General features: G+C 38.0%; 1 pseudogene, besides 1 other annotated feature; it reads right to left on the reverse strand.

The window, feature by feature from the left end:
• Positions 1 to 17,190, reverse strand: part of PDZPH1P (PDZ and pleckstrin homology domains 1, pseudogene) — a 96,086-nt pseudogene that overhangs the window by 50,687 nt on the left and 28,209 nt on the right.
• Positions 6,789 to 7,128: an enhancer, noted in NCBI's record as "active region_22861". NCBI's record gives its function as "activates an Ori minimal core promoter by ATAC-STARR-seq in GM12878 lymphoblastoid cells {active_cell/tissue: GM12878}" and the evidence as "EXISTENCE:reporter gene assay evidence [ECO:0000049][PMID:35858748]".

The following is a 17,190-nucleotide window of genomic DNA, read 5'->3' on the forward strand; positions in this document are numbered from 1 at the left end:
CTCCTCCTAATTTATACCAGACCCTCCATTTTGCTTTTCTGCCACTTGTCAACTTATTGCTTCTCAGCTCCAAATTCACCCCTCGATATATACTCTGCAATAATAGGCAGAATTATTCTACATAGTTCTTCTTAATAGAAAGCATGATGCTAAGATTTCTTAGCAGAGGAGGCTAGAGGAACATTGCAAGTGGGAGGGGTGCTCCTGCTCTTTCCATCTGCTGCAGGGTGGATGTGTGGACATTAAGGGGTGCTTTGTCCCAGCCATGCACCCAGAATGCACAGTCTCTCTGAGACCTTGCGCCTCTCACATGGTCTGGAAATCATCTTTCTGTGACCCTTTCAGTATAGGCATTCTATACTCCAGGTCTCCTGCCTGCCAGTGCAGGTGGAGTGATTCTCTCTGCTCATCTCTTGTCTCTCCTATGTTTTTCTCTTGCAGTCCTTCCTATACTACCACCTCCCAACAGGGCCTTTCTAACAGGAACACCTCATCTTCCAGGCCTCTTGCTACATGGACATCCTCATTCTCATTGCAAACCCATGCACCAGCCACCAGCTGAGGTTTGCCTGACCCATCTGTGCCCTAACGGATTGCTTCTTGTTTGCCCTGTGACTGCAGACTAACCCTGGCCTGGAAAATCTGCTGCCCTGCCATCCAGTGGATTCAAGGACAGCTCTCCCATGAGATCTGAATTCCCAGCCTCTGAGAAGTATCTCCCTTCTAGGTCTGTCCTTTGGACATGCTCCCTTGGTACCATATACAGTTTCTTTTATATTTTATGGTTATTCTTTTATTATAGTTTAATAACTCTTTATATGAAATTCTCCCTGTTTAAAGCACTGAGTGATTCTAGTTCTTGATTGGATCTAGATTGCTACAATTCTCTTTTCCCTCCCTTTAATTTTACTTATAGTACTAATCACAACTGCATATTTTGTGAATCTGTTTCTTAATATCAGTCTCTTCCATGGAATTATAAGCACAAACAGGGCAGGCACTGTGTCTGTTCTGTTGTCTTCCCAGCGCTTAACATAATGCCTGGCTTTTAAAAAGTACTCAATAAATATTTGTTGCATGACTGAATACTGTATGGTTGAGTTCATTTTCTGCTCATTTATTCTGTTATCTTCTTCTTATGCACCATTAACTACTCTCAGTCATTGCTATCTATTCTGATGATCAGACATAATGTATTCTGAAACCTGTAGCCCCAAAGGGTGTCTGATTTTGGCTCTTTATAAACAAAATAAAGCTGTACTTTTATATTCTCCCATCTCTGCATTAAAACCTCATGTGTTTCTGGGTCATAATGGGGACTTTAAATGAAAATAAAGGGCTAGGCATGGTGGCTCATGCCTGTAATCCCAACACTTTGGGAGGCTGAGGTGGATGGATCACCTAAGGTCAGGAATTCGAGACCAGCCTGACCAATATGGTGAAACCCCATCTCTACTAAAAATACGAAAATTAGCCAGGCGTGGTGGCGTGTGTCTGTAGTCCTAGCTACTCGGGAGGCTGAGACAGTAGAATTGCTTGAACCTAGGATGTGGAGGTTGCAGTGAGCTGAGATCATGCCACTGTACTCCAGTCTGGGTGACAGAGAAGGACTCTGTCTCAAAAAAATAAAATAAAAATCACCACCACCACCACCACCACCACCACAGCAGCAGCAAAAACCCTATAGTGGTAATGATGGTCTCAACTGCAGTTACTCACAATAGTTTTTTTCTTAGCTATGTTCAAATCATAAGATCCACATCTCTTTTCCAAAAAAGACTAGCAGCTAAAAACTATATATTTTAACTCCAACTACTAATACCACTACAGTTCTAATTTTTCACATAAATTCCACCCCAGGATTCATCCGCTCAAATCCCTGCAGGGCCTGGTGGGTAATTTAAATGACTGGGCTCAGTGTAAGGAAATGAGGAGTAGTAGGGATTATGGCAAATTGGCGAGCACATGCTTCACCTGAGCGCATTTAATTAAAAAATGTATAAAAACACTGTGCTAGCCAAGCATAACATCTGCAGACAGCACCAGTCCTGTGACTGCCACCTGGCAAACCCAGACCTAAAACACTGCTCCAGAAACCCTTCTGAGTTTCAAGAACCAGGAATCTTAAAATATGGGGTGCTTGACATAAAGTTGCCATATATATATATATATATATGTGTGTGTGTGTATATATGGAAGGGCTTTATTTATTTATTCATTTATTTATTTATTTGAGACAGCCTGGCTCTGCCACCCAGGCTAGAGTGCAGTGGCATGATCTTGGCTCACTGCAACCTCCACCTCCCAGGTTCAACCAATTCTTGTGCCTCAGCCTCCCAAGTACCTGGGATTACAGGCATGTGCCACCGTACCTGGCTAATTTTTGTATTTTTAGTAGAGAAGGGGCTTCACCATGTTGGCCAGGCTGGTCTCAAACTCCTGGCCTCAAGTGATCCTCCTGCCTCAGCCTCCCACAGTGCTGGGATTATAGATGTGAGCCACCAAGCCCTGGCCAGCATCTACTATTATCACCATTTCACAAGAGGAAACACAAATTATCACCACAAGTTAGGAAGGACGTAATCTCAGAATAAAGAAAAACCCATTCCAAGAAGAACAATTGGCAAGATTACGTTAGTTATTTTTATTTTTATCTTTTGACTATAAATGGGAATAAACTTGGTTATGATACTCACCCAAGTTACAAATTAGAATTACTTTAAAAGTTTGAAAAAGATCCTATAATTTCCAGGACCCCACTCTTGGAGACTCAGCAAGTAAGGGAGAAGCAAACAGCTTGCATGTGTACTTTGGAAAACTCCTCAGGAGGCTTCTGAAAGCCTACCCAGGTGGAAAACTTCTGGTCTGTTCACTTTAATACTCCGAACACAGAGACCAAGGACAGACCATCCTTTCGCATCCTGATTGGAGAGAATCCTATTCTCCTGCCCTGGAGGCAGACAAAGTTTTTCAAAGTAGCTGTATGGCTCACATTGCCATGAAAGGGAGAACACTTCACGGTCTATGTCACAAGTAATTCATAATCTAGAAGTAGAAAGTTTTCACAATAATTTCACAATAATGAGGAATAATAGGCAAAATTATTCCTCATTTTAAAGAAGTATCGATTTCTTTATTGATGTATTCCTTCCTTTGTGCCAGAAAGGAATTAAGGTTATTTATATACGTGTGTGTGTATATATGTGTATGTATATATGTGTGCGTGTGTGTGTGTGTGTATGTATTTATCTATATCTTTATTATATCTGCAGCTTAAAATTAAGATACTAGGGCAATGCAAAATAAAGGCAAAAAAAATAAGATTGTATCATGAGTGAGGTAAACAATCAAAACTGCTGTGAACACTCATTAGAGGTGGGTCACAAATGTGACCCAGAGTTGTTAGATGAGAGAGGAGGAGGTCCTGGAGGAGGGAGTCTACTCAGCTCCCATAAGCTGTTGCTAGGGAATTTTTCAAGAGAAGTTAGAAACTGAGATTTCTATGTGAAAGCTCTGTTTTTTATAATGTTTGCATCTAATTAATCCCAGCACTTTGGGAGGCCAAGGCAGGCAGATCACCTGAGGTCAGGAGTTCAAGACCAGCCTGGCCAACATGGTGAAACCCCATCTCTACTAAAAATATAAAAATTAGCTGGGTGTGGTAGCAGGTGCCTGTAATCCCAGCTATTTGGGAGGCTGAGGCAGGAGAATTGCTTGAACCTGGGAGGCGGAGGTTGCAGTGAGCCAATATCACGCCATTGCACTCCAGCCTGGGTGACAGAGCAAGACTCCATCTCAAATAAATAAATAAATAAATAAATAAATTAGACACTGTGTTGCACAGAGCAGAGAAAACACTTGTGCTGACAAGATGTGGCTTGCAGTTTGATAGTTTGAACTGCATGTTAGAATCACTTGAAGCGCTTTCTCCAAATACTCAGGCCCCAGCCCCACCCTAGACTTGCTGAATTAGAAACATCTAGGAGGAGAACTGAGTCTGCATATCTTGAGAAAGCTCTCTAGGAGATTCCAACTTTTACCTGTAGTTAGAAATCACTGCTTTAATGAAATCTGGGAAATGAAAAAAGGTATTTCAGGCCGCTTCTCTGGTACTCTGCTTCAGAAGCTGTAATGACATCCAAGCCCTGTTGCTTGGACAACAGTGCCCAGGTACTGATTGTGCCCCACTTTGATTTCTCTAGGGTACTAGATATGTAGTTCAGTTCTTAGATTTTGGCTTTGATAAGAAGTTTTCACAGAGGATCTGAAAGTAAGAATAAACAAGATAGAAATGCACGTGCCAGCCTCGATTTATGCAGCAGCAGAGAAAATAGATTACAATTCTCTGAGCTTCTAAAGAAGAAAAAGTTCCTGAGAAGTCACAGGAGAGAACACTGCTTTCAAAATCCTAGAATATGGTACCTTACAAGACAATACTTTGGTCATGGAATGGTCTATGTGACCAGTACTTTCTGAGATTTCTTGTTCTTACTCTGTCAGCCCTCAGCCCTCCCCTCAGTTTACCTTGTTATGTTTGTAATAGTAGAGGCATCCATCATACTTCAGCACAAACCACCTCTTTCTCCAACCCTTCACGATCCCGGAGTGAGTCCTCTTATATAGGTAGCCGTGGCAGGTGGGCCAAGGGGTACTGGGACAGCGGCTGATATCAGATCCTACCACCAGGGTCAAGATGTCTGTACCTAGAGGCATGCATTTGGAATAGTTCAGTGGCTGAAAATCTTACAATCAACTGGAAAGACTGTTACTAAAGAATGGATGAGAAAAAAGTTATAGTTTTTTATAAGTGGAATGAAATAGAATCCTACAGTTGGAATGAACCAAAGAGTTCCTCAGTAATTCAAATGTTCAAGTAATGCAATGTTTGAGGAAAATGAAAACTGGAGAGGTAAAGTGACTTCACTGAGGACCCCTAGCCCATAAGGTGATGAATGAAATCTGGGACCCAGGTTTCCTGACTTCTAGTGCAGAACTCTTTCCATTCAACCACACAGCCATGTTTGTTCTGGTTATGAGCTCCTTAAGTCTGTTCATTTTCACCGTTTATAATAATCAAGCTAAATCTTTAAACAGACTTTGATTTACTTCCTGAGGAGAAGGATGAGTGATGCTTAGCTACCTTTCTACCTTACTTTTGACTTAGGTTAGCCAAAGGCAGGATCTAAGTCACTGCTTATAACTATTGCCAATATTGTCTCTGATAAAAATCAATGACAAACCTTTGAACTTGCAAATAGACAGAAGTTCTAGGCAGGGCAAGCTACAAATGTTTCTTTTTCCTTTTCTCCCCCTTTTTCTTGCCTATTCAACATAGTGCCAAGGGTTAAACCTTGAGCTTCCTGATTCCTGTCTTGTCTTTTATAGAATGCCTTATTTGGTGCCTGGACACTAGTGGCACCCCTTTCCCAAAGGATCGGCATGGTATAGCCTGGGGGAAAATTGTCCCTATCCCTGTTAATATGAGGTCACTGTTTACCCACTATGCTTTGATGCTGCAGCGTGGACACAGGCTTTTATTGTACACCTACTTCTTGATGCTTCTAGAAAATTCTCTGAATGTCACTCAGACAGATAGCAACCCTGACATGCTTTGAAGACTGCAAATGGGATATGACTTCATTTACAGTTCCTCTGAGAGGACGGCCACATCCCTGAAGGAGGACAGTTGGCCTTGGCAGTGCTGACTTCATCATGATGTCTGACATTGAGATTACCGATCTGTTTAGAGCTGTCTATGGAAATGGGGGTCAGCAAGGAGACTCCTCTTCTATAAATGACAAGCTCCAACCCAGGGGATCATTCCTGGCTGAGCCACATGGCCCTGAAAATAAAGATTTGTCCCAGAAAGGCTGACACAGTCTTAACTTTAGCAGCACGCAAAGCACCTTCGTAATTAAATAACTCTCTGTGTGTCAAGATAATTCTTCATTGCCATGTAAATACATTTTAATTTATTGAACTGCCCTTAAGCTCCTGTCAAAAACACATGCAGAAAAATGAGAAGAAACGCTCCAGATTGACCGGCAACCCACAAATGTCTTTGTCTTTGGACTTCAGTCCCCAAAGAACTGCACGCCTGGACTAATATGCATAGCTGACACATCTGCCAATTTATTTATGTACTGCTGCAGTGGGCTGCCCCTTGAGGTCGTTTTCCTTTTGCTTACACAGACTGCCTGTGGGTTTCTCTGATACTGATCAGGCTAAGCTTGTGTTTCAGCCCGGCCATAAACATAACTTAGTGCACCACAAAACATTCTCTCTGGGGCAGGGATACAGATGGCCCTGCTGAAGCATGGTGTCATCATATTAGAGGAAAGTTTTTCACATTCAGAGTTAAGACATGATCCCGATGCATGGGGACTTGCTGGCTTCTAAACAGCTGTCGGGAATAGTGGTTTTATACTTATAAACAGGTCCTATCGGGGGCCCAGGGCACTTGGGCCTGACATTCACAGAGAAGTTTGATTTCAGACTTTAGACTTCTGATATTATCTTCAAATGAGGTTATTTGTATAGTCATTGTAATTTCTGTGTGTTAACCAAACTGTCAAGTACAAACATTTAAAACCTCCTGGTTTTGTTACTATTTATTAACTTACTGGGACCCTAACATATGGAAGTGCCTTAGTTTACTGTTTCTCAAACTAAATGTAGATGCCAGTTAGCTGATGGGTCTGTTGAACTGCATATCCTCATTCTGTAGGCCTGGCATGAGACCTGAGAGTCTGTGTCGTAACAAGTTCTCAGGTGATGTCAGACCACAGTTTCAGTCCCAAGTCCCTAGGCATCCCTGTTTCTGAGAGCCTCTGCTCATTAGCACAGTCTTTGCCACCAACCATATTTCTTCTTTGCCTTAACTGTGATTTAGTTTCCCATCTGCTTTCATTTTCAGTTGTAGCATTTTTCAGCAACAGAATTATTAGGTTTTCCCCAACCGGCACTTTTTTCTCTAAGTATCTCCCCACTTTGGAGAAAAGAAACATATAACCATTGCCTTTCTCTTCTGGACATCCCCAAAATCTTGCTTGCTTTTGCAGGGAGCGTGGGAGGATGTGGGTAGGTAAATGTCTACAGCCTGAGGTGAAGGAGTCAAGAGAACTATTAGTTTCATGAGATGAAAGAGTTTGAAAACCCACATTTTTAGAGAATCCAGTTATTTGGTGATGATGTCCTTAAAAAATAAAAGCTGTACAGCAAACTCTTCTTCCCTAGCACTTTGGTCTAGAGTTTTGAAAGTAAAGAATTGTGGGTGAGATTATTTACAGCTACAGGAAAGAGAAAAATGATTTCTTTTTCTAATTCACACTTTCTCCTTGGATCATAGTCTTCTTATTATGTCACCAATCTTAAACTGTGTCACAGTCTCACCTCTGCTGTCAGGCAAACTCCACCACCGTCGCAGGTGCAGGTGAGAAATGTACAAGACGTGTACTTTCCCGAGGGTTTGCACTGTGCTCAGTAGCTGAGGACCTGCACTCCAGAGGTGCTTCTGTATTTGGTTTTATTAAAGCCTGCACTTAGTGAAACAAGGAAGCCCTATGGAAGCAAAGAACTTCCAGGTTGATTAAACCTCACTGTTTACCATTACTCTCTTATTGGTGATTAAATCTTCCATTTGATTCTGCAAATAACCAGCCCTTATAAAAGCCAAAACCTGGATCATTTGAGGTCAGGTGTTCGAGACCAGCTTGGCCAATATGGTGAAACCCCATCTCTACTAAATATACAAAAAATTAGCCAGGTATGGTGGTGGGCGCCTGTAATCCCAGCTACTTGGGAGGCTGAGGCAGGAGAATCGCTTGAACCCGGGAGGCGGAGGTTGCAGTGAGCCAAGATCGCACCACTGCACTCCAGCCTGGGCAACAGAGCGAGACTCCATCTCAGAAAAGAAAAGAAAAAAAAAAAAGCCAAAACCAGAAACTAAAAGAGACCTAATTAAAATAAAAATGCACATGGAGAATGCATGCCTCACTCACAATGTGACACCAAGTGCTTTTTTAAGTCTCCAGTTTAGCTTTTCCCATCTGCAAAACAAAGGTAATTTGTACAGGTATGTGTGACTAGTATTTTTGAATAGTATTTTTAATTATAAAATTAGACTTTTACACATCTAGTAAATCCCCTTTTTAATGTGAGGCTAGGGAGGTAAGATAACACTTGCCTCAGAGGCTAACAAAACAGATTTCTAATCTTAAGGCTGTAATCTTTTGGCCATGCCTCTAAGATGTGGAGCTGTGCTGGGTTGGGTGTGAGAGAATTGCCAGGGAGGGTTGATTAAAATTACAAATGTGCAATCACCACCAGGAATTCTGCATTTAAAAGAGTTTCCAGGCGAGTCTGACATACAGCTGAATTTAGGATTCAATGTTCTGGGAAAAGTGATTTGCTGTTCATAAATCTAAATCAGTAAAGTAGCAACCAGTAGTAGGATAGGATTTTACCGAGTTTTAAATACATAGGAATGAGTTTGTACAAAAATATATAGTGGTCAAAAAGATATCAGTTAGACTTTCAGGACGTTTATGCAAACAGAAATGAGAGGCAGGTGGAAATATTTAGATTTCTAAATGAGCTCTTAATAAATACTTCAAAATTTGTATTCCAAGACCTCCATATGACACATGAATTTAACAAAAGATTCTATTCATTGTGTCTTGATTATTGCTTTCTTCAGACAAGTTGATAGCTTTCCTTCCCAAAGAGAACCCTCAAAAGTTTGTTTCAAATTCTGTATTTTCCGGAAAATACCCTGACCATTTATAGAATTGTTAACAAAATTAAATATGTAAAGAAAGCACTACATAAAATTTTAATTATTCCTTTTATTTCTTCCTTTTCTCTTCCTCCTCAGTTTCATAGTCATGTATATTTTTCTCAGAGGCCCAGTGCTTCTCAGTAATCCTGCGATGTTTTTCCTTTTTTTCACCATTACTGCCTATAAATTTTAGAAGATGGAGAAAGCTAAAATCATGTAGGGTGAGTCCCCATCCCTGGAGGCATTCCTTTGTTGCTTTGGACTCAGATGCAGATCGTTGAGTGAATCATAACACTGGGGCTTGGCGCAGGATAGCCTTTAGAGTACAAGTCTCCCTTTTTGCTTTGTTTTACTCTATTTTCTCCTCACATGTTTTGTTTCCCATAATAGGCATTCACAAAATGTATTTGATGTAGAAATATGGCACACTATTTTGTGTATCTTTTACTTTTATGTGCATGGTATCATGCTAAGACCAACCTCCCTCCTTCCCTCCTTCCCTTCCTCCCTCCCTTCCTCCCTCCCTTCCTCCGTCTCTCCTTTCCTCCCTTCTTTCCTCCCTCCTTCCTTACTTTCCTCCCTCCTTTCCTCCCTCCCTCCTTCTTTCCCTCTCTCCTTTCTCCCTCCTCCTTCCCTCCCTCCCTCCTTCCTTCCTTCCCTCCCTCCTTCCTTCCCTCCCTCCTCCTTCATTCTCCCTCCTTCCCTCTCTTCCTCCCTCCTTCCTTCCCACCACCCTTCTCACCACCCACCTTCTCTCTCCCTTTCTCTCTTTTTCAATTCAAAAATCATGTTTTAAAAATCTATCCATGGTGCCAGCTAAATGCATATCTTGTATATTGTTTCAAAATGAGGCACAGAAGTTCAGAGTATGCATCCATTATGGCTTACTTATCTATTCCCCTAGAGATGGGCACCTAGATTGCTTCTGATTCCTCTCGACCACAGAGAACACTGCAATGAATGCCCTTATATGTGGCCACTCAATGGTTTCTTTGGGCTTATCTGCCCCAAAATGCAACTGCTAGGACATGATTTATAAGTGCTTCACTAGATGCTACCAGATTGCTCTCTGAAATGCCTATAACCCAACAAGAGTGTATGAGTATACTTATGTACTTATATCTGTATATCCTTGTCAAAGCTGGCTGTTATCTGATTTTCTAATATATTTTCTTTCCTAATCTAGTGGATCTAAAATATTATCTTGTTGCTAATATGCATTTCTCTGATTACTAACAAAGTTATTCTCCAACAATTTATTTTACTGACACTACGTTTTAACTTTAAAATTGAGGTCTTTAATATAGTTGAATCCACCTTTGTATATGGTATAAAATGGAAGGTACAATGTATGAAGGTATGAATTCAACTTATTTTCTATAAAAAATCCCCATTGTATTATGGTGCTACTTTATCATATGTCATTTTAGTAAACATTTGAGTATGTTTCTGAGATTTCAAGTCCATTCTATTCCACTGGGCTATCATCTGTTCCTATGAGAGTGCCATATTTTTTTAAATTATGGTTTCATAATATACCTTAACATCTGGTATGAAAAGTTCCTTTGTCATTGTTTGCTGTATTCACAAATGACATAGCTATTTGAAGACATTTATTTTCTACACATGTTTGTGGATAAGTGTGACAAGTTACTCAAAAATTTATAAAATGTTATTGGAATTCAACTGAATTTTTAGATTAATTTTGTGAGAATTAAAATCTTTACAGATTTTTTTCACCCATAAATATACTCTACATTTCCAGTTATTTAGATCATCTTTTATGTACCTGGATTAAGTTGAATTGGTCAGAACTTTTGATGTTAGGACAAACAAAGGTTGTTATAATCAGCATTGTTCTTCTGAATCTTAAAACAAGTTTCTCCATTAAATGTTTTTGTTCCTGTTTATGTACTTTTATTTATGATTAGGTTTTTAGTAGATAGTCTTTATCAGGTTATGAAAGGAACCTGTTGTTTCTACTATTTAGGGGATTTAAATACAAACACACACGTACATACTGCACTTTATTAAATGATTATTTTGCACTATTGAGACAATCATGATTTTTTTCTTCATACTAACGAAGAATTGCATTAAAATTTTTTTGTGATTATATGGGTATAAACTTTAGTTGATTATGATATACTACACGTATTTTTAATAAAAAGTTTGATTTAGGTATTTACCATTTTCATTAGAATTTGTATATCTATACGTAAATAGAATGGATATATTATTTTTCATAATATGTTTATCTGGTTCTGAAATCAAGGTTACAGTAGCCTCATAGAGTTAGCTGAATAGTCATTCACTGTTTTCTGGAAAAACCATATAGAATAGGGGTTATTTGTTGTTTGAAAGTCGGATAGGTCTCCCCTATAAAAATGAGGAGACTAGTATCCTGGGCTTTTGAATGGGAGATGGGGTGGGGATGGAAATGGGAAAGAGATGAAGTGGTGTCTTTGTTTATTCTATCAATATGTTTAATTATGATAGCCTGCAGATTGTCTATTCTTGCACTAATTTAAGCACTCTAAATGCTTCTAGAAAATGTTTTTATTTATCTAGCTTTAAAGTTTATTATTCTACAGTTGTTCAAAGTAGTATTTTATTATTTCAAAAACCATGTGTGTTTTTCCCTTTTACTTTGTTATTCTCTATTTTGTCTATTTACTTCTTTTTCTCTTTTTCCTATTTATCAGTGATGCAAGAGATTTATCTGTGTTGTGAATCTTTTGAAAGAACCAGCTGTTAATTTTATTAGTATGCTGTATTTTTCTTTTAATTCCCGATGTCAGTAATTTTATCCTGTACTTATTTTTTATTTCTTTTTGATTTCTTTGTGTTTATTCTATGGCTTTTTTCCCCTAACTTATTGAGTTGAAACTTCATTCACTGAATTTAAATTTTTCTTGCTTTTGATGAAGATATTTTAAGTATAAATTCCCTCTAAACACTATTCAGTTATATTCTATAAATTTAACATGTATTGTTTTCACTGTTACCCTGTTTTAAATGGTATAATAATTCTCAGAGGCATTAACAAAAATTTAAGCCATGTAACTTTAAAGACAGTTATTCTTTTATTATTTAATTTTAATTTAATTGCATTATGGATAAAGAATATAATCTGTATGATGTTGAGTCTTTGGAATTTATTGGGGTTTCATTCATAGCCTGATACATTGTCATCTTTTATGAATGTTCCATTGTACTCAGAAAAAAAAATATGCTTTGTGGGATGTAGAATCTAGTTATTCTCTCCAAGTTCAAACTTCTTAATGCTGTTTTCAAGTTTTATATACTGGTACTTTTTTAAAAGTTTTATTTTATTGTAGTAGGAACATTTAACATATCTACCCTGTTAACAAATGTCTAACTGTACAATACGCTATTGTTGACTACAGGTACAGTGTTGTAGAATGGATCTCTACAACATATTCATTTACATAACTAAAATTTCTTACTGGTTAGTTAGCAACTCCCCTGTCCCAGTTTACCCCTGTACCTGGCAAGCACCTTTCTATTTTTTGCCTCTATGATTTTGACTGTTTGAAATGCCATACATAAGTGGAATTATGCAGTATTTGTTCTTTTGCAATTGGCTTACTCCACTTAACATGATGTCCTCAAGTTTCATCCATGCTGTCACATACTGCAGAATTTACTTCTTTTTAGGGCTCATAGTATTCATTTATATGTATGCATATTTTTTTAATCTATGTTGATGGACACCGTGGTTTCCACATCTTGGCTATTATAAATAGCGCCACAGTGAACATGGGAATGCAGATATCTCTTTGAGATAGTGATTTTATTTCCTTTGCATCAATACCTAGAAGTGAGATTCCTGCATCATATGGTAGTTCTCTTTTTAATTTTTTGAGGACTTTTTCTGCTATTTTCCACAGTGGCTACAACATTTTGCGTTCCCACCCTCAGTGTGCAAATGTTCCAATTTCCCCACATCCTCACCAACATTTGTTGTCTATTGTTTTTTTAATAGTAGTCATTCTGGTAGGTGTGTGGTGATATCTCATTAAGGTTTTGATTTGCATTTCCATGATAACTAGTAACATTGAGTATTTTTTCATATACCTATTGGACATTTGTATGTCTTCTTGGGAGAAATTCCCTAGCCTATTTTTGAATCAGGCTGTTAGTGTGTTTTTGCTATTAATTTGTATGAGTTTTTTCTATGTTTTGGAGATTAACCCCCTCATCACAAGTTTTTTTAGTTTGATGTAGTCCCACTTGTTTATTTTTGTTTTTGTTGCCTGTGCTTTTGGTGTCATATCCAAAACGTCATTGCCAAGACCAATATCAAGAAACATTTATCCTATGCTTTCTTCCAGGAATTTTAAGGTTTCAGGTCTTACATTTAAGTTCTTAATCCATTTTGAGTTGATTTTTGTGTAGAATGTAAGATAAGGATCCAATTTCATTATTTTGCATGTGGATATCCAGTTTTCTCAGCACCATCTGTTGAAGAGACTATCTTCTTCCCATTGTGTATTCTTGGCACCCCTGTCAAAGATCAGTTGACGATATATGCATAGATTTATTTCTGGGCTGTCTATTCTGTTCCATTGATCTGTCTGTCTTTATGCCAATACCATACTGCTTTGAATACTATAGTTTTGTAATATATTTTGAAATTGGGAAATGTGATGCCTCCATCTTTGCTGTTCTTTCTCAAGATTGACTTGGCTATTTGTGGCTTTTTGTGGTTCCATGACAATTTAAAATTTTTTTTATTTCTTTATAAAATCCTATTGAGGTTTTGATAGAGATGACATTGAATCTATAGCTTGCTTTGGGTAGTATGAATATTTAAATAGTATGATGTTTTCCAATCTATAAACACAGGATATCTTTCAATTGTTTGTGTCTTAATTTCTTTCATCACTGTTTTCTAGTTTTTAGTATACAAATCTGTCACTTTTTACTTAGGTTTATGCCTAAGTATTTTAATTTTTTGGTTACTATTGTAAAGGGGATTGTTTTCCTAATTCCCTTTTCAACTAGTTTGCTGTTAGTGTATAGAAACACAATTGAATTTTGTTTGTTGATTTCCTATCCTGCAATTATACTGAATTCAATTATTAGTTCGAACTGTTTTTGGCATCTTTAGGGTTTTCTATTTATAATATTGTGCTGTCTGCAAACAGGGATAATTTAACTTCTTTCTTTCTGATATGAATATGTTGAACTTGCCAGAGCTCCAACATTACCAAGACACTTTTTTGGACATCCCTGGAGAAGGTAGTGAAATGGATACACAGATCAACCTTCTCCCTCCCAAGGGTAGCAGAGTGCTGGGAATTTTTTGTCTTTGCTCTATGCTGAGCAACAGGAAGGATCTATGGTGCTTAACAGCCCAAGCTGCTGTCTGTGTTCTCTATCAGAGCTCCACGGTCAGCAAAACAGAATCTAGTCCCTGCTGAGGTCCCTTGGAAAATTTGGGGTGCTGGATGTACAAATTACACTCGCTCCCTGCCCTTAGAAAAGGTTGTAGCTTAGGGGTTCCCTTCTTGATTGTACAGTGCTGTGCTCGGTGTAAGGATTCTGTCAAGAGTGTGTCCCAAATCTCCCTACTGGCTTCGGTGAGTCTAGCTTAGTGTTTGCCTGGGATGTGGAGCCTTTCAGTAAGTTTCTGGATTTCTTACAAAGAGAATTTGTCTATGAATTGTTGATAAATTCATATGTTTGTAAGGGGGAAAAGGGTGTTCCTACTCTGGCATCTTGCTGGTATTATTTCCTACTAATGCTTAATTTTTATTTGGTTGTTTTACCACTTTATGAGATTGGTAAGTTCTGAGTTAGATAAAATTGTTTGTACTGGAGAGGGGTTGATATAGACAATAGGAAACTTTACTAAGTTATTTCATCACCTTTATTTCCCATGATTACTATAAAAGCATTTTGGATTTGTATTTCTTTTTGCTACAGTGTTTCATTTAAGAGTATTTCAGACAATCTTTTATAAAGCTAAATGCTCACATATGTCTTTGCACTTACATTTAAGTAATAGTTTAGCTGGATATTACATTTGAGTTATAATGCTAATTTTCTTTAACATTTTGAAAATATTATTGCATTGTATACCAGTACCCAGTGCTGTTAAAAAGTCTGATATCAATCAGATTTCAGTGGTTTTCTGTCTTGAAACTTAAAAAAAAATCTTTATCTTTGATGTTCTTAAATTTCACTACAATATGCCAACATGAGGGTTTTATTCCTATCTATGTGGCGATCTATAAGTGTTTCCTGAGTTCTCTCTTCTTTCTTTAATTCTAGAAAAGTCTAATTTTTTTCTTCAAAAATATTTCTCCTTCCATGTACTTATTTACTTTTTTCCTTTAAGCACTCTTGATTGAAATATTACCATATTGGCTTTTCTAATTGTATCCTATGTATTTCTTAACTCTTCCTATATATTTTCTTTTTTAAAAAAACTCACCTGATGCGTTCTATGAAAGTTCTTACATTAAATATTTTGGATCTTTAAAATTTTTCTACTGTATTTTTTCTGTTATTCAGCTCACCTACTGCATTTTTTATTTAAACAATTATTTTCTTTATACCTGGTGCTGAAGATTGGTTTTCCCTTATGTCTGCTTTTTCTGCTTTATATTAAATATCCTACAAATGTCCTTTTTCACCACTTTTATGATATTTATTGATCTTATTTTAAGTGCTTGTTCTCTCCGATCTATTAATTTATTTTGGTTTGGTTGTTACAGATTGTTCCATATATTATCTTTCTCTTATTGCAGTTATGTTTCTCAGATGTCTTGTTATTTTTACTAGACAACTCTTACTGCTCTGGGATTATTAAGTACTTTGGCTGAAAGTATGTACTGGGAGAAAGTTTAAAGTCCAGAACATGGCTGACATCCCTCCTGGTGAGTGTGGTGGTGGAGACAGGGTACTCCTCAGGGCGGTAAGCCTCTTGGGTTGCTATATTGGCTCAATCACTATGTTTGCCTCATTTGCTTTCTTACAAGATGACCCTGAATCTCAGGCACTCTCCCTTTTCCTTTGCCATAAACTCTACTCTTCCTCAACAAAAAGCTGTGCTATAATTACTTAGTCCTAGGATGTGCAGGAGATTATATCTGGGTAAGGAATGATGGGCCACCCTGATAATATCCCATTGACTCCATTATAGGTGCTGCTGTTTCTCTGGCTTTCAGGTGATGTGGAGAACTGGCCACCTAGGTCTATATGGAATAGAAAAAACATTAAGAAGCAGTTCCTCAGCCTGTTCCTTACATGAAGTGTTCAGCTGTCATCTGCTACTGCCTGTAATTCTCACTGTTTCTAATATGCACCTGCACCAAATGATCTTGCCTTTACTTTTAGCATCTCAGATCTATAATTCACTTTTATGTTTTTGATGTATCTCTGATGTTGGGTTTGAGAAGAATTGGAACAGACACAGAATTAAGGTTTCCTTTGGGGAGAAAAGTGAAGGTGGCAACCAAGGAGTGGTTGAGCCCAGATTATATCAGCAGATAAGTCCATCCGCCCAAGTAACTTCCAGGAATGGCTAGGATGTTGAATATAGCTTTTCTCTCAGTATCAGTGTTAGTTCCTTACCTTGTCAGAAATCAGAAATCTCTCCATTCAAGTTTTAGAGATGATTTCTATTTATTTCTATTAGCTGATGTAGTGAGGCTGAATGGTTTAGTGCTATAAAGAACATTAGGCCTCTTGGAGAAAAATAAAAGAAGTACTAAAAGTAGCAATATTTCTAAAAGTAGGTTTTATTTAACTCAGAAAATTGGAAATGTAATTATCTGTGAGGAAGAACCTAGGAACAGCTAAATTCAGATGGGTAAGATTTCCTTATTCTATGGAATACTATCAATTCATTAGCATAATCATTATATTATCTCCATTTCTCATCTGTACTCCATACAAGATAAATATTTGTGCAAGACATATAAATAGCTGTTGCATGTGCTAACTGACAATGACCTTGGATTCCCGGTGCAGCTAGTCCAAGTCCCACAGAGCAGCAAAACACCAAGCCAAATCCTACAAGTTTCAGAATCACTTATGAAGACACAGCATTTGTTAGTGGGTTTTTTTTTTTCTTTTTGTGCTGCTCGTCTACGCTAGAGAAGTCTCAATGTTGCTAATCATCAAGCATGGTTTCATCATGAGAAAAGGGCAAATGATACTTACTGCTCAGCCAGTTACACTTACTAATTAGCACATGTGACCTATCCCAAATGCACACATTTTTAATATCTCATTGCCTGCTAATAACCTTCAGAGGCACTGAAGTACTCATGGAGCCTTCAGGAAGCCCGGAACAGGAAACCACACCAAATAACTCCATGAGGGAACACAGCATTTACCAGCTGGGTATTTTTAGGTCTGCAGGGAGGTAGGGT

Source organism: Homo sapiens, chromosome 5 (genome assembly GCF_000001405.40).
Source record: "Homo sapiens chromosome 5, GRCh38.p14 Primary Assembly".
NCBI lineage: Eukaryota > Metazoa > Chordata > Mammalia > Primates > Hominidae > Homo > Homo sapiens.